This window comes from Homo sapiens, chromosome 14 (genome assembly GCF_000001405.40).
Source record: "Homo sapiens chromosome 14, GRCh38.p14 Primary Assembly".
Lineage (NCBI taxonomy): Eukaryota > Metazoa > Chordata > Mammalia > Primates > Hominidae > Homo > Homo sapiens.
In genome coordinates, this window is record NC_000014.9 from 70,044,007 (window position 1) to 70,066,224 (window position 22,218).

General features: G+C 44.7%; 1 protein-coding gene across 14 annotated transcripts in view, besides 4 other annotated features; it reads right to left on the reverse strand.

Annotated features, from left to right (window-relative positions):
• The window catches only part of SLC8A3 (solute carrier family 8 member A3), a 145,191-nt gene continuing 123,181 nt past the window's right edge, over positions 209 to 22,218 (reverse strand). For 3 of the 14 annotated variants that reach the window (XM_017021606.2, NM_183002.3, XM_006720240.4), the window contains 6 exons: positions 16,830 to 16,933; positions 11,790 to 11,807; positions 7,984 to 8,108; positions 7,002 to 7,101; positions 4,761 to 5,036; positions 209 to 2,317 (listed from right to left, as the gene is read on the reverse strand). In XM_017021606.2, the coding sequence (XP_016877095.1) occupies positions 1,941 to 2,317; positions 4,761 to 5,036; positions 7,002 to 7,101; positions 7,984 to 8,108; positions 11,790 to 11,807; positions 16,830 to 16,933 (1,000 nt within the window). In that variant the 3' untranslated portion in view covers positions 209 to 1,940. Of the gene's footprint in view, positions 2,318 to 4,760; positions 5,037 to 7,001; positions 7,102 to 7,983; positions 8,109 to 11,789; positions 11,808 to 16,829; positions 16,934 to 19,816; positions 20,430 to 22,218 lie in introns of those variants that run through there. The other 11 variants (NM_001438069.1, NM_182932.3, NM_001130417.3 and 8 more) reach the window with 7 other exon arrangements.
• Positions 9,065 to 9,266: a silencer, noted in NCBI's record as "fragment chr14:70519788-70519989 (GRCh37/hg19 assembly coordinates)". NCBI's record gives its function as "represses an EF-1alpha promoter that drives an FKBP-Casp9 reporter gene in an ReSE screen in HepG2 liver carcinoma cells {active_cell/tissue: HepG2}" and the evidence as "EXISTENCE:reporter gene assay evidence [ECO:0000049][PMID:32094911]".
• Positions 9,065 to 9,273: a biological region, named in NCBI's record as "MPRA-validated peak2186 silencer".
• Positions 9,073 to 9,273: a silencer, noted in NCBI's record as "peak2186 fragment used in MPRA reporter construct". NCBI's record gives its function as "represses an SCP1 promoter by STARR-seq MPRAs in K562 erythroleukemia cells {active_cell/tissue: K562}" and the evidence as "EXISTENCE:reporter gene assay evidence [ECO:0000049][PMID:32103011]".
• Positions 16,550 to 17,749: an enhancer, noted in NCBI's record as "CDK7 strongly-dependent group 2 enhancer chr14:70527273-70528472 (GRCh37/hg19 assembly coordinates)". NCBI's record gives its function as "activates an origin of replication core promoter dependent on BRD2, BRD4, P300/CBP, MED14 and CDK7 cofactors, with strong dependence on CDK7, by STARR-seq in HCT116 cells {active_cell/tissue: HCT116}" and the evidence as "EXISTENCE:reporter gene assay evidence [ECO:0000049][PMID:35650434]".

Genomic DNA, 22,218 nt, shown 5'->3' on the forward strand with positions numbered 1-22,218 from the left:
CTACTACTTACATCTTCCAACTTCGCAAAGTCCAGGTTTTGACAAGTGGCATTTTCCTGAAGTATTTTTGCTTAGAATATACTGGGTCTGACACATTGGCACCTGAGTGTGAGAGGAGGTGACACCTTCACCTGAGTCACGTCTCCTCACAAGAAGCCCACAGTGGCCCCCTGGACCTTTCACTGAAGAAACACAGGTAGAAGCAAGCTGTATGTAGAGAGATATAGTATAGCTTTTATTTTTTTTTTGAACCAACCCAACATTTCCACTGGCAACTGTCAACATAGCTTATGACATGAGCACTGTTTCTTTTTTAATTATTTTTTTCTTAAAAAATGTGTTTAAAATTAACAGGTGTTTTTTAATTTCTTCCCCCCCCCCCTTAGAAAATGTATTTATGTCAATGCAGAAAGCCTAAAGATCCGTGGGCAGTTTCGTGATGACATCTTATGTCTGTTTATTTGTGTGTTTGTGTGCGTGTTTTAAAGCCAGGTCCTTCCCACATTCGTTGAGAAAAGGTCTGTAGGGCACGGAGATCTCTTTCTCCAAAAACCCAGGCTCCAAGGGATTATGACAACTAAGATTCCTCTTACTGGAGCAAGAACTACCCCATAGGCTGGAAAAATAGCTTCATGAAGTTTAAGAACAAGCAGGAACATGGGAGAAATGAGGAATTCCAGTTCCTATCTTGTAAAAATGCTTTCATATGTGACCTGAGGGACCAGGAGAGGTGAAGGGAGCCCCTGGTTCTCTTATAAAATCTCTAAGTTTTTACACCACTTCAAGAAATATAGTCAGCCCTCTTTGTATAGAGCATTAGGAAGCAAGAGCGTGGTGAAGCTGACATTTCTCAGGCACATTGACATTTAAAATACAAACTTTTCTCTTAAAGATCTCACTGGTTGGACATCTCTTCTCTCCTGCCTCAGGTACAAAGCCAAAGATAATCAAGAAGGCCTGTATCCCTTTTGTTCTTCCAGTAGCCCTTTGTCGTCACACACCATTCCTATTTTTGTCCCATCTCTTCTATTTGGCGGGTCTTCCTGCAGAAGGATACACAAGTGGACACTGACACAACAAGACACACAGAATTGGAAAGGCTTGGGCAAAGAGGGACAATTGCTTTTTGTATCTGACTTGATTCAACATAAGCATAAAAAGCTCCTCCTGCTCCAGTTGAAGCTCCTGTAAGATCTTTAGTACCCTGCGTGGGTGAGTGAGCTTATTTCTACCCCAACACCATCACTCCTCCCAAGAACTCAGAGAAAACAGTGAGATGGGGAACTGGATCTTGATGGAGCCAAGAGGTGGCAGGAGAGCATGTGTCTAAAAATTCATGTTTCTCTCTGTTGGCTCGGACCTGGAATTCCTTTGTGGCACCTTTTTCACTCACTTCAGAAAAAAAAGACAAAACAAAATAATAAGCAAAACCTAATGGCAAAACGAAAGCAACCACAATAATGATTACAATGAAAAAAGAACCCCACCCCAGCCACATGAATGTGACTCATTTTCACGTCTTGTCAGCTGAGTGAGATAATAGGGACATATGGAATTGGGCAGAGAGGAGAAACCCTGCTTCCAAAGAAATGAGAGGCAAAGGAATAATCAAAAGATGGAATAGAAGGAGGCGAAAGGCTCTGACCTTTGCTTTGGGTCAGGGATATGAGGGGGAGATGGGGTGGAGGTGGATTTGTTGCTGTTGCTTGTTTGTATTCAATTAAATACTGTGTAAAGTCGGTGATTCCTCCATTGTTTGATTGATTAAGACTTTGCCCTTTCAGTTAATTGCCAGGGCCTAAGTTGGGTGAAGTTCCTGGGGCTTAGGTCCTGATGCTGCCTCTCCAGGGCAGTGCAGTCGGGAGAGATCACTGGTGGGGAAGTGCCCTTCTCTTAGGAGAAGTCCTAGGCCTGCCCTGCTGGAGGCTCTGTTGTGTGGCTTAGAACCCCTTGATGTAGCAATAGGCCTCTAGTGTGGCAAAGAGTATGTAGAGGAGCCACAGGCTCACAAAGAGCCATGTTGTGGCGAGCTTGCAGCCACGGGGGCCACCAAGCTCCCCTCCCAGGTGCGGCCGCCTTCGGTACAAGAGCACGCTGATGCAGACAAATGCAAAGATGGTGAAGAGGGTGACGGAGAAGGCCAGTGTGCCGGCCGACACGTGGAACTCCTGTCCCTGCAGAGCCCAGTAGATGGCGGCCACGGACCAGGCCAGGCCGATGCCCAGGAAGACATTGACGGCGTTGCTGCCCGTCACGTTGCCAATGGAGGCGTCTGCATATACATCCTGGAGGGCAGCAGCTTTGCTGGCAAACGTATCTGGAAAAGGACAAAGACACATGGGAACTGGTAGGAGGCTAAGGTGTGCAGGGCTTGTCTTCCAGTATGCCCAAAAAGCAGCTTGAGCTGGTGGGCTGAACCCAGGAATGAGAGACAAGGGCTAGGGGGCCACTCCTAACTCCTAGTTCTGCCGCAAGCAAGCCGTGTGGCCCTGGGTAGGTCACATCCCTAGTCTGGGCTTCCCATTCCTCATCTGCAGTGATCTGAAAGATTCTGAAGGGCTTTCCAGTTCTGATATTTACTGAGTGGGCTTATTGTTCTCCTTTGACTACTTTTTCAGTAAGGGAAGTTTGCCATCCCATAATATCTCCCCAGGGAACCTTGACACCCTGGGAAGCTGCTTGGAGTAGATGCCTGATTTTAACTGTCATATGGGGCATTTATTCACGAACCACCAACAGTTATTGAGCAATGCCTACTGATTGAGCACTGGGTGAGGTGCTGGATTTTGGGGACAGAGGACATGTTGGGGAACCATGATGGGGACATGCAGGGTGAACTGTGGACTCAAGGAAGACGGGGCTCTGTCTTTGTGGTTTATATATGTATCACAGGGCCTTGCAGGGTGTTTGACTTTAGATCTTGGCACAGATTGTAGATACAGGGAGGACTGTCAGAGACATCTAGCCCAATTCTTTTATTTTACAGGTAAGAAAAATAAGGGTCAAAGAATTTACCCAAGGTCACATAGGATGTTAGCAAGAGACTTGACCCTAAAGTCCTCATGTAAGGACCCTTTCCATACCTTCAACTATATCCAAAGAGCTTCAGCCAAAGCCACTAAATCAGATGAGTGGATCACAGGGTAACCTTCTTAAAGCCTCAAATGTTGTTAGCTGTTGTCTTGGCCAATTGCAAGGACTTGGAGATGCCCAAAGGTATCTGCCTGGCTTACCTCATTATTGCCATTTTTTTTAGATCTCCCAGAGAAAACCTCTTACCCTTTCTTGCCTATGGCCTTGTTTTTTTGTTTGTTTGTTTGTTTTTGTTTCTGTTGTTATTGTTGTTTTTTGCTTCTGATCCTCTGATATTTCTTCCCACCTCTATGCTTTCCCCCATATTTCCTCCCTCCCCTCTGATAGTTCAGGTCCCCCAAGGCTTGGAGAACAGAGATCACAGGGCATCTCATCCACAGGCCTTCCTGGGATCATCCATCTAATTTCCAACCTTCTGATGCATTTCCACGATAGCTAAATCTCTTGCATCACTAATGGACAAATAATACCGCTGGCCTGCGCTGGGGTTTTGGAAAGAGGTTTTCCTAGAATTTGATGTGAATTCAGCTACTCTCTTGAAGGATATGTTTGCTTGGTACAGGAAAGATTTCCCTTGGCCCAGCCAGAAAAGTCCTGTCTGATGAGATTCAGCCTAACTTCCCTGCAGGAGGATGTGCTCTGTTTCTTTCTGGGGCAACTGGGATGCCAGCTCCCTGGCAGAAGTTCAGAGTTCAGAGGCCCCAAAGCCCCTAACTGAATTAAGTAAAGAACCTGGGCTAGTGCAGCCCCTGTCTACCTGCTAACTCCTACATTCAGGCCCAACTTCCTTCCGTATGCAGTACCTTTTCTTTTTCTTCCTAGGATTTAACAAGATAACTTTAATTACAGTAGTTGAGAGTTGCCTCCTTCAGTAGATTATAAACTCCACGTGGAGAAGGAAGCATGTGTATCTTGCCTTTCACTATAGTCCCAAAAACTAGCACAATACTGTAACAGGCATAATAGGTGCTCAGTAAATATTTGTTCAATGAGTAAAGGAATGTCCGCTCCTTTCTGTTTGTCTCTGAGTGTTCCTAAGAAAAAGAAAGAGTATGTAATTCATCCTATAAAAAGATAAAAGCTGTGGAACTTCCTTTGGCTGTCCTGCTAGGAGATACTTTGTACTCACAGTGTCCTTCCAAGTAGAGGAGGCCAAGAATGTATGTGGGCATTTCTCCTTTGATATCTTTGAGCTGGCTAATCTTTAACCTCTCAGAGATCGCCAGAGGTAAATAGAAGGAGAACAATATCTACATTCTTTTAATTTCACTGTTTGTGGTCTACTCACATAATGTGGAGGTTAAGAAATTGGACCACTTACTTGGGCATGTAGCTTAACCTCTGTGGGCCTCAGTTTCTTTGTCTGTGAAGTGGGGATAATAACTTACCCTATTTAATAGGGCTTTGGGAAACATTACAGGGGGAAAATGTAAATGTGTAAATTGCTGAACACACATGGTGTCTGTCACATTGAAAGTGCTCAAGAAATATTAGCTGTCATTACTAATGTCATTATTCATCTCTTTGATTGACTTTTGTGCACTTTAAGGGCAGAGGCTCTGTTAAGTTCAGATCTGAGATGGTGTGGAAGATAATGAGATGGAGTCCAGGGGTCATTTGAACCAGGTAAAATCCTCTTTGCAAATTCAAGCACCTCTCACTCTCACCTGGGACAGAGGTGCCAAATGCCACGAAAACAACAGCTGTGACTGAATCTTTGAGACCAATGGTGCAGCCGAAGTGCGAGGCCAGGTCCCCAATGATGGCGGTGAGCATGCCAATGATGAGGATGGAGACGGCGAAGCAGGCCCAGCCGTGGCAGTACTCTGTGGGGGGCACACAGGCAAACAGCACCTTCCAGAAGACAGTCAGGAAGTGCATGACGTAGTCAAAGCAGGAGGGCAGCCTCTCCTCCCCGGATTCATCCTCATCCTCATCCCCTGCTGAAGGCAAGATAAACAGGCAAGAGAACGGGTAACGAAGTCAGATAATCATTCATGAGAAAGTCAAGCCCAACCCGCACCACAGGCATCATCCGCTAGAAGGGGACTCCAGCTGTCTTCTGGGCAGCTGGTGGGGGCCAGGGCCAGCGTGCCAGAAAATAGTGGGGAAACAATTTGGGCTGCCTCATAGGTCAATTTGAATGCAGGGCACCAAGGTAGAGTGGGAGAGAGAGGGCCAGGGAATAAGGAAGAGAAGAAAGAAGGAGATTAAGAGGGACAAGACAGTGGAGCAGAAAGAAAGGAGGATGCAAACCATCATTCTCAGCAAACTAACACAAGAACAGAAAACCAAACACTGCATGTTCTCACTCATAAGTGGGAGTTGAACAATGAGAACACATGGACACAGGGAGAGGAACATCACACACTGGAGCCTGTCAGGGGTGAGGGATAGGGGAGGGATAGCATTAGGAGAAATACCTAATGTAGATGACGGGTTGATGGGTGCAGCAAACCGCCATGGCACGTGTATACCTATGTAACAAAACTCTATGTTCTGCACATGTACCCCAGAACTTAATGTATAATTAAAAAAAAAAAGAAAGGAGAATGCACAGGCTGCATTTTGTTGTCTAAGGAGAGAAGTGAAATCAGTTCGGTGTGGCCACTCTTCACTGGATGCCAGCAGGGCTCCTCTCAAATTTTCTGACCTGACTGCTGCAATAACCATTGTGGTTCTGGTCATTATCTGTCCCCTGAGGGATGGCTGTCATTCCAGATCACGAGAATATACTGCAGAGCCAGTGCCCTCCTCCAAACATCTCATGGGAAAAAGCAGGATGGGCCTTGATTGTCCTTGCCAGGAAATGTGGGCAGAGTTGCCCACTCAGCAGCCCTGGAGGGGAGGGTATGCTGAGGCATGCCTGTGCCTTGCCAACGGCAACTTCTGTCATGTTTTGGCATAACCGGTAGAAGCTGGGGTTTGAAAGAACAGGAGTCAGAACACTTGGGTTCTCATTCCAGCTTTGCCATGAAGAAAATCTGTAAGCTGGGGTAAATCATCTCTTATTTCTGAACCTCAGTCCCCTCCTTTGTAAAAGGAGCAGGGTAGATGATGTGGCCTACATTCCGTTTATTGTCTTGAGGGGCACAGTCAGGTCATCAGAGGGGGAGCTAGAAAGATCTAAAGCAGGTGATGAGAAAAGTGGGGTAGCAGCAGCAGCAGCAGCAGCAAACCTCTCTTCCTGGCTGTCTTTTTGCTCTGGCTCTGGGGCCTTGGGGATATGACCCTGTGGGTTGCTATGACAACAAAGTCTCTCAATAAAAGACAAGGCCAGGAGGCCTCAGTGGTGCTGAGAGGTGATAGTGATGGTGGTTGGGAGACCTTTTCCGTCCCTGTTCCAACCAGCAGTCCCCTCAGGCTTCTAGGACTCCCGGCTGTGCTGTGGGTCACTACTGAGGGAGCCTGTCAGTAAATGCCGAGGGAGGGGTATGGAATCATCCAGAGTGTTTTGTTGGAGAGTCAATGCAACACATTTTATAAACTCCTAACTCCCACATCTCTAAATCAGAATTGTCCCACATTTTACAGAAGAGCGGGACCAAACCCATGAAAAGAAAGAATGACAGAAATCAGAATTTATTGAGTTTGGATTTTATACAAGACTCTGTACCTTTCTACTTTTCTGAGAAAGGTAGCAATAGTTCCCCTTTGGAAAGAGGACATTGAGGTCAGAGAGGGTACATTGTTCCAGTTCACACAGCAGAACAACGATTTGAAACCAGAGATAACCATGTTTTTCAGATACGCCATGATTCTTTTCCAAGCAGGCACCTAGGACCAGAGCTGGGAAGACTGAACACACAAGCCTTCCTAGGGACTGGCAGGCTGTTAACGTGGCTTTACGCTTCCTTCTCAGAGGTTGCCTGCTTCTCCCAGCAAGGCCAGCCTGAGACACTTCTCACCTGCACTGACGGTGATGGCCTCCATGAACTGGTCCCTCCAGGAATGGGTCCCCACAACCAAGGCCAGGTTTGTCTTCTTGATCAGTTTGTCCACCGTAGTCTGTTAAGAAGAGAAAAACTTGGAACCATGAGGTTAGAATGCTCAGAACCAATGAGGAGTCTGGTTCTTCAAAGGAATGAAAGATGCCCTGTCTCCAAGGTGTTCTGACAGTTACGCATGGAATGGCCTTGGGCGATCTCTTTTGAGGCAATCCTTCTATTTCCCTTTGTTTTTGGTTGTAATCTTTTTGTTTTGTTTTGTTTGAGACAGGGTCTCACTTTGTCACCCAGGCTGGAGTGCAGTGGTGCAATCATGGCTCATTGCAACCTCAACCTCCTGGGCTCAAGCCATCCTCCCACCTCAGCCTCCTGAGTAGCTGGGACCACAGGCATGTACAACCACACTGAGCTGATTTTTATTTTGTTTTATTTTTTATAGAGATGGAGTCTCCCTATGTTGCCCAGGCTGGTCTCAAATTCCTAGGTATAAGTGACCCTCCCATCTCGGCCTCTCAAAGTGCTGAGATTACAGGCGTGAGTCCCTCACTGCCTGGCCTGGTTGTGACTTTTGAAATTGGCTATTTAGAATAATACAATAATGAATAATAATAATGATGTTAATATATCTTGCCCTGTAGTAGTGAGTTTTAATATTTTTGCTTTAAAAACACAGTTAAACAATAATGATAATACATCTCAGGACTTTCTAGTCCACTTATTTCACATTCTATATTATGTTTCCTAACAATATTCCTAGCATACAAATGGTCAGCACTATTTGTTTCATGTTACAAATGGGGAAACTGAGACCTGGGGTGGGTAAGTGATTTGTTCAGTTTCAACTTCACATATTCACTAGTGAAAGTGGAAAAAAACACCCCAGGTCTTCTGCCTCCCACTTTAATTTATTTATTATTCAATTAGACCTCACTGTTTGCCTGACCTTGAACTCATAGGACTCTTCAATGATGACTTCTAGTTTGGGGTGTTCACCCAATACTGGCTTTCCCATCTCTGCTATCCTCTTGGCCTCCTCTTCTTCCATAGTCAGCTTCCTGTCTGTCACATCTGCAACAAAACAAAATCAGACTCGCTTTAACACCTTTTCCATTCCCTGGAAGGATACAGCTCAGAGTATTAGGCATGGGCAGTGGGTACAAAGCAAATAACTCTTGGGAATGGGGAGTTTATATATATTTTTAGTGCCTTTTTTATGAAGTACTAAACACTTTATAACCAGACCATGAGAATGTGCCTTGCAGACTGGGATAAGCGTTCCTCTTTCTCTTTTATACCTGGGTGGACAACCTGACCTAAACATCTCCTGAGAAATAGCATCAAGTGAAGTTCTCAAGACACTCAGTGAGATGTTGGGGAACTGGGAAGAAAGGGCAAGTGTTTTGACCTTGAACTATTTTGAACTTTTGGGCCTGTTTGTTCAACCACTTCCTGTAAGAGTTCTTGAAGGTGCAGAAGTACATTTATTCAAAGGAAATGTCTACTGGTTTCACAGCATCTTGACTCATTTACCAATGGTCCCTTCTCATGTTGAACAGTTTTTTTGTTTTTTGTTTTTCCACTTTGGCTGATGAGTCCATTTTAAGAGCACTTCTCCATGAAGACATGTTTTCTGGATTAGAGTGAAATAGAGATTGAATCTTTTTATTCCCCTTTAATTAGAAAATTGCTCTTGGCAGCTTGTTTCTTTCAGAGCTCATTTAAACATCTTCCCATCCAAGTCCACATTCTCACATGCAATTATTTCTTTTATTCAGCTCCTTAATTGCTTTCATTCCACACAGTAAACCTCCTAGGGGAATCCTGTAGTCCTTGGATAATCTCAAGGACAAAATGGGTCAGAGGCCAAGAAGGTCTTTTGTCTCTAGCTGGGGAATTGGTGAAGCAAGGGCAGTCGTGAGACTCCAACTCTCGAGTTTGCAAGGAAAGAAATTCACTGAAAAGACTATAAGCCAAGGGTTTAAATTACCAAGCAGACAGCCTTATATTTTATGTAAGAATTTTCTTAGTTGGACTGCATGAAGATGGTATGAGAGTGTGTGGAGACTTCCTGAGTTCGCTGTTTTGCTCAGTGTTCGGGCACCAAACACAGAAGGCAATCCTAAAATGTCTGGGAGCTGTCCGTGGTGCTGTCCTTCCTCTAGTGCTGGTGGCCACTTTTGGAAACAATGTTTTCTCAAGGATCCATGTCTTTCTGCATATGTCCAAGTCAGCAGACATCCTCTAGCAGCCTGACTTCATTTAGTCTATTGAATTTGAGTCTCTGATTAGTTAATTCTGAAGGTAAATCTGGGTGAATCTAGGGTTCTGGCTATAGGCCAGCAACCCTAGAAGCCAGACTGCAAGCTACTCTGGGAAAAAGCCCTTAGAAAAAGACACACAGATTCCATACTCTTTTCCTTTACTTGCAGGTTTAAGCACCATATCACAATGCCTATCTTAGCAGCGACAGTATTATTCCACTCCTTCCTCCCCAATTCCCCCATGTCATACTTTACATGTGACACAATAACTTTATACCAATATAATGAGCTCTCCAGTGACATATAAATGTACCTGTCTAACCCCTTGTCTACCTATCAATCTAGCACTATATCCATCTGGCAGGATATTGATCTACTTACTGACCTGTCCACCTCTGTGGTGACAGTCAGTTTTTCCATCTAGCTTTCTGCAAAAATCCCTTTGACAAATAACCAATCCTCTATCTTTGGATCTCCCACAGTCCCACAGAGGCTCTCTGTATATATTTGTTAATTGATTGAGTCACATGCCTTTAAGTTAATTCTAGTTTCTAGTTTCTCGGTTTGGCAATAATTCCTGCCTTTTTCTATTTTTGTCATGATCTTTCCTTTAAATTCAAATGTTGTTAATTTCTTGAGAGAATTATAAGTCTTCAATTTAGAGGACCATAGTGATTCTGATATCTTGTTTATGTGACTCCTCAGAATTTCAAGTAAAGAGAATAAATGGCAGGTGATCTAGATATTCAGACTGACTAAATAAACTCTCAGTTCTAGGAACAGGAAGAGAGGCTGGGAGGGGAGAGAAAGATAGAATATGAATAGGATGGAAGATTGAACAAATATTGGAAGGACAAAGAGCTTGCCAGGCCAGACAAGAATAGGATGTTGTGAACACTCTGCAGAGTGATGTAGCTAGTGCTCTTCCTGCAAGGCGCCTGAGCTTGGGGGTGGGGGGGTGGTTAGCTCAGAATGAACATATTCCCTCTGTCTCTGTCCACCTAGGAAAATTAAAACCAGTATTTGAGATTTCCAACGAATTGAAAGGCTAATCAGCGCTCCTAAATTAAAGGCTTACAGATTGAAAGAGCTAGGAAAAGAAACATTTCCTTTTTCCCATTTTAGCTTCTATTGATGTTTGCAAATATGTTAAAAGTAGAAAGAAACTTAAATTAAATCACAATCTTTGTTATGCATTTATGTGAGGGGGGGCGGGTGGAGGAAAGAGTTGGAACAAAGAAGCCTTACATACCTTCACAGGCAAGAGGATGAGTGAAGTAGAGAAGAAAAACCCAATGTTATGAAATCAATACCCTGGGAGAAGAATGAAGAACAGAGGGTTGAGGATAGCCCTTATTTTGTTGGTATAAAAAAGAAGCAAAAAGCCAAGGAAGCTGGAGTAACTGTGTTTTTTCCACAAAAGAAAAATGTAGGAGTTACCTACATTTTTTTTGTTTGTTTAAGGCTCCCAGAAGGCTTATGTCCTTACTATGTACACCGCCCCTTCCTGAACCCAAGATGTAGCCTGTAGGTGACTTTGAATATAAATGAACTCTGTAAGATGTTTTGCCTCTTAAGTGGCCTTAACATTTTTTTCTGTGTTCAAAGGACTGATGAAATGTAAGACGTTCTTTTAAAATATATTGAAACTGTCTTGTGTAGGCCACTCTGCTTGCACAAAGAGTTATAGTATTGCTAGATATGCTGAAAATGCTTTCATATCTGCTCATGAAGTTGAATGTTGTTTATGATTGGTTTCCACTCATGCAAGCATACTCTCAAAGTAGGTGTACGTCCTCTATAGCACCTAGATTCTGCATGAGAATCTCTTCAAAATAAATTCTCTAAAATTTATATTTCCAGCCAGAACACTGCCCCAATCCCCCATCCTAATTCATCTTGTTCACGGCACATAGGACTTTAAGGGTCAATGACAAATGAACCAAAATTCTAGCAATTTAAGTCTCAGCTGTGATGAGATGGAAGATCTCCAGGACTGGTAAAATTCCAGATTCTTTAAAAATTGCATTTCCTATTCTCACAACAGGTTTGGTTATTTCCTGGATCCCTTGGGATTAAAGTATTTTTTTTTCAAATCCTGTCACAATTATATTAGGAGATTCCAGCTCTGAATCTCACTGTCTCTTCCCCCACAACATGAGATGGCAGATGAATTAAGACTCAGGAGAAGTCTATGACCCACCATCTCCTTGTTAAGCTTAATTTCTCTTCCTGGTCCCAGAGAGGATCAGCTATGCCTTAACCCACGTCCCCAGACAGAAGTGATGCTCAAGGAATTGCCTTCCTCACAATTGCTTTCTCATAATTTCTTCATGTGGGAAAATAAATCTCCCAGTCCTTGGGAGAAATTGTCAGGTTAACTTGAGCCTGCAGTTCTTATTCAATAAATCAAAGGACATTGGTCTTAAACCAAATAATGGCACTGGCAAGAAGTGGAAAGAAAAGAGGGGGACAAGACACCTCTTACCTGGAGATAACAGGAGCGCTGTTTGCAAATGGATACCAGAAAAATGGAAGAAAGAAAAGGAAAGAGCATTAATGTCCCATCTTGAAAGTATCACCAGGTTTTGTGGTTGCTGGCAGCATAAGGAAAGCAGAGAGCTTAGTAGGTGAGAGCTCAGCAGCCATACGCAAAAAGAAGCCTTTGGAGCATGCACAGAGCAGCAGCAAGAGGTGTGAGCAGCCGGAGAGGCTGCTGAGCACCAGGGCCCTGGTAAGGGCATTTGCTCCTATGCTTTCCCGGCTACCCTAGGGCTAGGAATGGAGGAATGAGGATGGGGAACCAAATGGGTAGGTTGGTCACTCATGACTGTGTAGGATACCAGGTTATCACATCCATTCTGTAAAAAAAGGAGTGAGAATCCAGTTATCATGAAAACTGTGTAAGTTGCAACCCTGCCAGAGTAGCTAACTTATGAGTGGCAAAAATGACCATGGGGCTTGAATGGGAGCTCAAGGAAATGGGTAGCATTGTGCAAGAGTGGAACAGTGCCCAGGTCTATGTCTTCCATCCCTAACGACTTAGCTGAACTCATGCTCAGCTTCTCAGTGCTCATAAGGTTTCCATCACCACAAATGCCTTCCTAGCTGCCACGTTGACTAGAACTTTGATTTCCCCTAAAAGAATGACTTAGCAAAAAGGTAAGTCCTGCAGAATGTTTTCCTTGAATGGTTTGTCTTTACCGTAGATATATCCTGGAAGTTAGGGCTATGGGCTCCTCCCATTTTGTATCACCTCTGCTTAGCAAAGTCCCTGCATGTGGTAGTGTTCAATTAAGTTTGGCTGTTTGCTGTCTATTTTGGCAACTGTCTTTTCCATAGATCTCATAGATCTCTGGTTGGGTGATTTTTCTGTTTCAGAAAGGACAGGCTAAGTCAGAGTTCAGGTATTCTGGAACAGAGAAACTGTCATACCAACAGCTATACATAGATGAGAGATGACAAATGCAAGGTCCCTATGTGGATTGGGAAACTGAGTTAAAGACACACCCAATACAGGTTGTCTCTAGCCCTTGAATTTGTACTTATGCTGAACCCTCTTAGAGTTTAAGATCTAAGAATTAAGGAAACTTGTGACACACCACATTTTCATTTCTATGATATCTTAGTACAGCCCCTCACTCCTTGGCTCTCAGATAAAGGTCTGGGAAGAGCTTGCCACATATTCAACGTGTAGTTGGTGACTGATAGAGATTGCTGAGGAAGGAGTGTGTGTTGTGGGGGAACCAGGGGGGACATGTCTGTGAATCAATTTTTTTCCTAAGAATCTGTAGGAATGCAACTCAGGCCTGTGATCAATCATCCTATATTCACAGCCACTGAGATATATGTGGATCCAGAGTCTGCATGATACATAAACAAGGCAGTTCACTTTTTTAGGTATCTCCCATGTAGAATTCCAAAGGTTAATGGATCAATGGCTTTCCTCACTACATTGAGATAGATAGATATAGATAGGCAGATAGGTAGATAGATAGATAGATAGATAGATAGATAGATAGATAGATAGGCAAGAGCTTGTTTATTCTGCTCCTTCCGGGAGTTTGCGTGGAAGAGCTTCCCCCAAGTTCCAGGGGAGATCAGAGATCCCAGCACATAAATGAACACAGGTGGGTCAGACAAAGGCAGCTCTTCCAGAAAGGTCCCTGATGCCCTGGTTTTCACTCATACATGCCACCGAACATCTGGCCCATCCCTAGAGTAGTGAGAAGGCCTGCAGTTGGCTGGAATTCCATCATTCTCTGGTCATTGTCTCCATGAATCCAAGACTTTCTGCTCAGCAGTTATAGATGGGTCAGCAAGACCTGGGTAGGCCAGCTTTGACTGACACAATACCTCGAGGGTGTTTTTCCTGCTGCTGCTCATGAGAGAAGCTGGAGCTGAACTTTCCCCTGTATTGATCCCCTGGGTCAGGTGAGAGTCATTTATTCCTGCTCAGACACCCCAGGGACAAGCTGGAAAGAGCATAGGACTGTGAGTAATTAGGAAGCATCTGGGCAGCTTGTCAAGATGAGCCCACGGTTGTCGAAAAAGGAGGACCAAACAGGCCCCATTCTTCAGAGAGAGAGAGAGAGACAGAGAGCTTTCCTTTCTATCCGAAGGCTTCCAATGTCCAGGCCCAGGCCCAACAGTCTTGATTATGTTGCTCAGTGTTGCTCTCGGAAGTCCACTTCTAGACTCCAGAGCAACTGTGTTTCCTATTCAGTCTCCCTTTTTTCCTTCCCTTTTTTCCATCCCCCAGCTCATCCAGAGCTTTTAATCTCAACTCTGAAGTCTGTTTTGTTTGCCAAAAATAGAGTCTCCTATTTCAAATCCAGTCTCTCATTTTTTTAATGCAATTGTCATTTTGACCATGCAAAGACTATGCCATTCTGAATGTTTCAGACTCTCCCATGCAGTAGTGATAATGAAAAGCAATTTCCACTGTTCTGTTTCTCACTCTGAGAACAGCAGGGAATTCTGGAAATTTGGATGGGTTTCCATTTGCTTCTGAGTCTAGACAATCAGGTTTTATGACCTTTCACCTTATGGTCTAATGTCAAAATACGGGAAGTACTGAAGAAACTGGAAATTAACCGCCTAGAAAACATAGACAATAAAATAGGCAGCTGGAAAATTGACCAATTTCTTCTTGGCACTCTTCATCTTGGCATCTCGGTCACTGGGGAGATCTGGGGGCACACCACACAGATAGCTTGCTGAAATCCTTGTCTTCTCACCTACTCCCTCCACGAGGGCATTGCTGACATTTCCTTGGGCAAAGAATCTGTGCAAAACAGGAAGATGTCCTTAAATGGGGATTAGCCAAAGACATTTGCATTTGGTTAGGTCTCTTGAAGACTTATCTTGGGTCACTCTCTGTCCTGCTGTTGGTAGAGGTTTTAAGGGAGGCATAAGAGAAGAGCCTTTTTACTGGTGGAATAAAGGCATGTATGGACTTCCAATCTCTTCCTCTTGTCTGGAACCACTGCCTTCCTTCCTGTACGCTGTACATGTGCTGCTTTCGTTTGCATCTAAGTAGCTTGGACTGTGGAAACTGATGAAGGTGACTTACAATTGGCCTTGGGTATCTGCTGCTTCCAACCAATTATGAATACATGGAATAAATGCTCAAGGGAGGTGGGAATGAGGTAGGGCAGGTGCTGAGGCAACCTCTGAGAATATTGTTGGTGGCAAGAACTGGAAGTTGGGCAAGAATACAATGTGGGAAACAATAGAACCAGAGATAATTTCTTTCTTCCAGCACTTTTTGGCAGTCAGGCTGAGGGCAACGTTTTATTGAGTGGTGACGAAGAGAACCAGCAGTGAAGAAGGAGAGGAGTTCTGCCCCTAGAGCATCAGGTGTGTCCAAACCAGCGCAGGCACAGAAGTGGTCAGCTCTGCAGGAGAGTCCCCAGCAGACAATGAGAAATGACCAATCACACTGAGAAGGCCTGTAGAGAATCCTTTGGGAATGTTGTTGCTGAATCTCTTAGCTCTGTCCTCGTGTGGAAAGTTTTATGCTGCTCTTTGTCACATGAATATGAACTAATTGCAGTATGATCACCCCTTTTTGACAAACAGGTGGATTTCACTGCTTCATTTGCTAGGAGGCTCCCAGCAGCATATCTCTCCTGAATGGGAGTGTGAACGTCCTCTTGTTATTTCCCAGGAGCACCCTAACCCATTCCCACATCTATGCCTCCAAATGATTGGAAGCCATTCAAAGTAGTGGCTTCCAATCATTTTCTTCAAGGGAAGAAATCCTTCCTTACTTCTACCCTGGTTGCAACATAATCAGTCCTTTAGGGATGAGCCCCTGGCAGGTATTCTCAGATGCAGGTCCTGAGGAAAGCAGGAGATGAGGCCACTTCTCTAGTGTGGGATGAGGGCTATCTTGGGATCTGGGCGGTACTTTCTCTTGCAGATGCCAAGCAAAGGCAGACATCTGTGACCTTTCCAACACCTGTCTGTCAGGGATCAGCACCAACTGCATCATTTAGAGTCTCTTCTGTTGGAAAATCCACAAGTCAACACTCCAGGCCTGCCCAATGTCAGTCCTTTTCTGGGGCCCCTGGCTACGGGAATTTTCATACCTGGAACTATTTCCTTCCCTTCAGGAACTCTCAATTTTCTGCTTTAGAGGTTGCATTGTCCCAAAGTAGCCTGAATGAGGCACCCAACCTTGGGCTAGGAACATAGAATGGCATGGGGTGGGATGCCCAGAGGAGGAAGAATAGCTCAGAATTCCAGATTGCATGATTACCCCAGAAGTCAACTCTCTCTCTCAGAGCTCTCAGAAGCCGTGGCTTCTGACAATTGGTACACTTTCCCATGCCACGGTCTGCCCAACTGTGAAACAGCCAGAAAATACACTTACCTCCTCGAAGGGCAGAGGGGCCTATGGGCCACTCCACAAGTGAATAACCTGCCAAGCGTTCAAAGGAAGTTGGGGAATGCAGCAGAAAACTGTCAAAGCATCATTGCAACCCAGGCCCCAACCCCCATCCCAGACCCCCCCACATTCAATCCAGGCTAAAGAGTGAGGGGTGGCAGGGGAGGAAGGCAGGAAGGGGCACAGGCATGCATCGCATCACATTCCTTTTTTTTCTTCTCCTCCCCACCCACCAAGGAATTTTCACATTTACAGGTTACAGTGTAGGGGTGGGGTGGGGGAGAGTGCAGGGGCCCATGGCAATTGAATAATTGAAAATTGTAGCAAAACAGGGAAATAACTCATTAGGGTAATGAGGAGTTGAGGCTGCAGTGCTGCCCAGAAGGCGGTAAAGGAGGAATTTGGAATAAGCTAAGGCTAAGAAGGCAGAGATGATACCGAAACAGGGTGAGAGCGAGAATACAGGAGGGAAAAGAATAAAAAAATCCATTGGTCAAAAAGAGAAAGGAGGAGAAGGGAAGAAAAGGAGGGAGACAAAAATATAGCTGCTTTTTCTTTTTTGTTGTTGTTTTTCAGTTTGTTTTAATTTTTCTTTCTTTTTTTTTGTTGTTTTGTTTTTAAAGAATCTCACACCTGATATTCCACGTTCCATCCATTTCGGTTCACCAAGGGCAATGAAGAAATTCTCTTGCCTTTCGTATTCCTCCTCATCTACTATTTTAACCCTTATGGTTTTCCTGTAGGGACAACAAGAGAGAGAGTGTGTCGACTGGGTCGGTAGATTGGTTGGTCACCTGGAGCACAGCCTTTAAAATCATTCCCCGTCATTCCTGGCACATGCAGTCCAGTCCCACCATGGTGGCTTTCAACAGGACCATGGTGGATTGTGTTGTTCTCAGGTAATAAATGGTCTTAGTTTTTCTTGTCTTCTTGGTCATAGTTGTTCTTACGGGTGAGGGGGCAGGGAGCCAGGAGGCAAGGAAAGGTGGGCAAAGGAAGGGAGCCAGAAGGACAGAAGGGGAGGAGAAGGCAGAAGGCGGGTAATGGTGAGGAGGAGTCATTTTAGACCTTGCCAACAGTTAGTAGGAAGTGAGTCAGGCAGCACATTCCACTGGGTGTCACATGATAACAGTGGCATTTCTCTGGGCAACAGGTAAACTACTAACCCACTGGGAATAACCCAGGGTCTTCCCACAACAGGGAATATGTCAACAGAACCCAGGGCTTGTGTCCCTTCTTTATGTCTATACTCACTTCCATTGTGAGTTTCAGAAAGAAAATTTTAAAAGAAAAGTATTTATGAGGAAGGAAAACCAGACAGAGGAAGAGAAGAGAGAGAGAGAGAGAGAGTGAGAGAGAAAGAGAAAGAGAGAGAGAGAGAGAAGAAAGGGAGGTAGAATTGTGTGATCTTTCTCATTCTTTATCTCATAGGGCTTCAGTGGTGGGAACTAAAATAAATATGTATTAACCACAATATTACATAGGAATCCTTTACTATTTACAGCTGATGCATTTCTGGGAAAATGTGAAGAAAATGATGTAAATCATCAAATTCTAAATCACCTTTGGGCTTCTATCACTTAGGGGTGATGTGTTCCAAAACTGGTTTCCTCAATGTGAATTATCATGGGTCTGGGGCACAAGGTGATGGAAGTTTCTGTTCATCTCTGGGTATCTCAACAAAACATAACATCTTTTAAAAACAAGTCACCCAGGGAAGAAAACTTTCCTTGAAATTCACTGCCCTCCAAAGACTGGCTCTTTGTCATGTGGAGAGGTTGCCGTGTGGGCCTGATTCTTCCTATATGGTTTCTTCTGGTCCTTCATGGAATCACAATGGTGGCTAGCAGGTCCTACTAGTGAGCCAGAATTGTAATTTTCTGCTTTCTTTTTCTTTTTCTTTTTGGCGGGGGGCGGGGGGGAGATTGGGGGAGGGGAGGCTAAGAACTAAATGCTCTAAAGGGTAAAGAGCATTTACCTAAATGTCTCTTCAGATCCTCTGATGTTCCTGCTACCTTCTGTGGGCGTGCTCGGCTTTGCCATTTATAATGTAGTAGACTGACCCAAAGGGGCTTGTAGGGCACAGGACTTGCTGTGCATTTGTGGTGTGTGTACTTTACAAGTACAGTCACATGCTACATAAAAACGTTTTGCTCAATGACAGACCACATCTACAATAGTGGTCCCATAAGGCTATATACTACGATATTTTTACTGTGCCTTTTCTATGTCTAGATGTGTTTAGATACACAAATACCATTGTGCTACAGTTGCCTGCAATATTCAGTACAAGCACATGCTGTACAGGTTTGTAGCCTAGGAGCAATAGGCCCACATAGTCCAGGTGTGTTGTAGGCTACACCATCTAGGTTTGTGAAAGTACACTCTATAATTTTCCCACGATGACAAAATTGCTTAAGGACACCTTCCTCAGAATGTATCCTTATTGCTAAGTGATGCACGACTGTACATTTTTATTACCTTTTTGGGTACTTCTTTTGACATCTTTTTATACCTTGCTCAGCGGACAAAAGAGAAAGCTCATTGATTGTCAAGAGGCATTTTTTTGGGAATATTTCTGTTGGCCCTAGATATGGGACCCCAGGGCTGTCTACAAGGTGTGAGCCTGTTTCTCTGCTGCAGGAACTCTGCTGTGGGATGGGATTGGGGTGCTCTGTGACAACAGGCATGTACTGGAGGGCATGAGGGACAGCTTGGAAGGGGAAGGAACATTGCCCTCAGTACTGGCAGCTCCCTGCTCCACAGTATGATCTATTCAGGAAAGGACTTCTTGACTTGTCTATTGGAGGCCATGGGATGTATGGGGTCATTGAAGTTGAAGGCAAAGATTCCATCCACTCTGAGAAGCCCCATGGACCTCTTGGGGAAGCTTCCATTTGGGTCAGGATGATCTCCACCACTATTCTAACTCTCTGCCTCCACACCTGGGTGTTCTTAATAGGAAAAACATAGGAAGACAAATGGATATTTGACCTAGATCTGGAACTCAAACCTGTACTTTCAGCTTCCTCAAGGTCAGGAGGAGAAACAAGTCTTGATAGTAGCAACATGGCAGATAAGGTGGCTCCTAAAGCCTGCTTTTGGGAGGGGAATGAACTGTAATCCAAATACATTGATTCTCAACTTCCTGGGACTCTAAGTTTAGCCCTGAGAATAACTGCCCCATGGAAATTTGTGCTGAAAGCCTGTTTCTCAGTGCTGCTCTTCTGTCTGGTGCTGGGCTATGTGGTCCCTTTTCCCCCCTTTATGCCCAGCCATTCTGGAGAAGCCAAGAGCCGCACATGATACTCCAGCATTTTGGCTCTTTCTTTCCCCATACTCATTTCCTTATCCCAGAACAATTACCATCGGTCTTGAGCATCCCTCGTATGGATGCCATGTGTCAGGCTGGCAGGTGTTAGGACAGAGCTGGGGGCAGAGAGAGGACAGAGGAGAGGGAGGAGTGAAAAGAGAGCAGGAGAGAGAGCAAGAGAGGAGACAAGGGAAAGGGAACCAGAGAGGTGGAAGACAAGAGGAGGAGGAGACAAATGGGTTGGAGAGGAAGAAACAGAAGAGGAGAGAAGAATGTTAGTGTTAGTGTGGAGGACAGGGTACTACACCTTTCTGAAAACTCATATCCACCATGCGGGGGCCCATCATCTCAATGAAGTAATTCTTGTTTTTCTCATATGCCTCATCATCAATTACCTTGATGTGAATTGTTTTGCTGTGGATGGAAAAATAAGTATCATAAGCAAGGAGTAGAGTGTAGGACAAGTCAGCCAGCAGACAAAAACGGGAAGAGAAGGAAACAGTTAAAAGATTCAGAAAGATCCAAGTTTGCCCCAACACCACAGGGGCACGGAGGAGAGTGGCTGCCAGTGGACCCCTCCAGCCTCACTGGGCTCCTCCTGGGCTTTGTGCTGCTTCATGGCATGATCATATTTGAAGACTGAAAAGAAAGAGCTCAAGCTTCACAGCCGAGGGCTCTGAGTTCTAATCCTGGATAGGCTGTGTAATCTTGGATACATAATTTAACTGATAAACAAACAGGATGAATCATGCTTACAGCATCCCAGGGCAGTTATGAGAGCAATGAAATAACATACACATAAAGGCTCGGCCACTAAGGTCCTCCCATGTTTGCTTCCTTATCAGTCTTGCTTTTGAGACAAGGGAAAATTTTTGCAATCAGCTGACGTTGATCCAAATGGTTTATTTCATGAAAGCAGAAAGGGACAAACTGGTTTGTGGAAATCTTGCCCAGAAATAGTAGAACTTCTCTTTTTCTGTATGGCAGTGACTATTCTATGGGAGCCGGCGGGAGGGTTGGGTCGGGGGTGGTGGTGGCGGCGGCGGGGATGCTGGGGGGAAATTTGGCTCATGTCACACATTCTGGCAATTCACAGAGGGCCTGAAAAGCTACTGACACTATCTCCAAACAGGCTTCTGCAGTCACAGGGATGAGCCAGCTGGATCACATTAACTCTAGGGCTCTCAGAATCACGATTCCTTTCTCAGTCCTACGATGATTTTGTGGCTAGCACAATTATATTGCTTTTCATGTTAAAAGGTGTTAGTTTGTTAATATAAACATTTAAAAATACATGCCAATTTTAGTCACCCTGTTCTGCATTTCTTCTTCTTTTTTTCTTCCTTCATTTATTTATTTATTGGAGCTTTAAAAACAGATGTAGACCTGGGCCTCTCCAGATGGTTGCTTACTGCAGGGACATTTTGGGACCATTTCCCAGGGAAGATGTTTAGACCTCTCCCGGTGGGTGTGAGACACTGCTAGGTGGGTGGGTGTGGAACTGGGTCTCCCCTCAGTTGTGGGAGTGAGGAGGCCTGAGCAGGAGCCCTGGGCAGTGGCCATGGGCCTGCACCCTTTGAGACTCTGCTACCCCACAGCCTGGCTTTGTTGGAGGAGACTGAGGCCTTCAGTCTCCTTTTTTTCTTTTTTATAAAATAGGAATCTTTACATTCTAAATGGGTACAACCTCCCTGCCCTCCTGAGCTTCCCCAAGTCACCATTAGAGCTTTGGATGTCTACAGAGCCTGCAGTGTCCATATTGTTGATCCTGCAGAATCAGATCTGGTCCTTTGCTCCTGAAGTGAATGCAACAGCAGTTACCAAGACACCTGGTCCCTGCCACCCCACCACATGAACTCCAAACCCTCATCACTTGCCACACCCACCCCAGTCATGGAAAAGCGTGGCTGGCTACCGTAGAAAGCCCGTGGCTCTTCAACTTGTGAAAGGCCATGATGCTCTGGCCTTCCTTCTTCCAGGTAATGGAGACAGATGAGCTGGATTCAAATCCCGCCTCCACCCCTCACTAGCTGGGTGACCTTGGGCAATGCTCTAAAGTTCTTCAAGTCTCACGTGTAAGGTCAAATAATAGCACCTACTTTGTGATGTTCTTAAATGAAATAATTTATATGAATTTCTGGGCAGGGTTTGTGTTCCCTATTAAAAGTTTCATAAATAGCAACCATTATCACTAAGAGTAACAACAATCCCAGTTTGGTGGTTTGAGAGTCATATGTAAGGGAAGCTTATCATCTTCAGTCATTAATTCAGAAAACTAGGGAAACTCAATAAGTACAGGTGGTGACCCAAGGGGTGGTTGAAGCTGGAAATAGAAATCAGGTCATGAAAGGTTTGGATGAAACAGTATGATAAATCCTAAATGGGCTATTAGAGGGGGTTGGAATGTTAAGGGTGGTAACAGAGAGATTTCTCTCAAAATCTAGTCTGTGCCCCCATCAGCAACAAGCTCTGGGCTGGACAGACAACATGTCATGTGACATAGCATGGCTCGTGCTGTTTTGATTGACATCTTAGGTGGGGACAAGAGAAATAAGGACAGGCGTTAACTAGTGGCAAGAGTAACTTAGGTTAGCCAGCCAGAACCACCATCAGAGCAAGGAATGAATGGAGGAGGCAGGGTATAGGATTCTCCCATTGAGATCATTCCCAGGGAGGGCATCACTGTTGGGACTTATGGTATTACCTTGC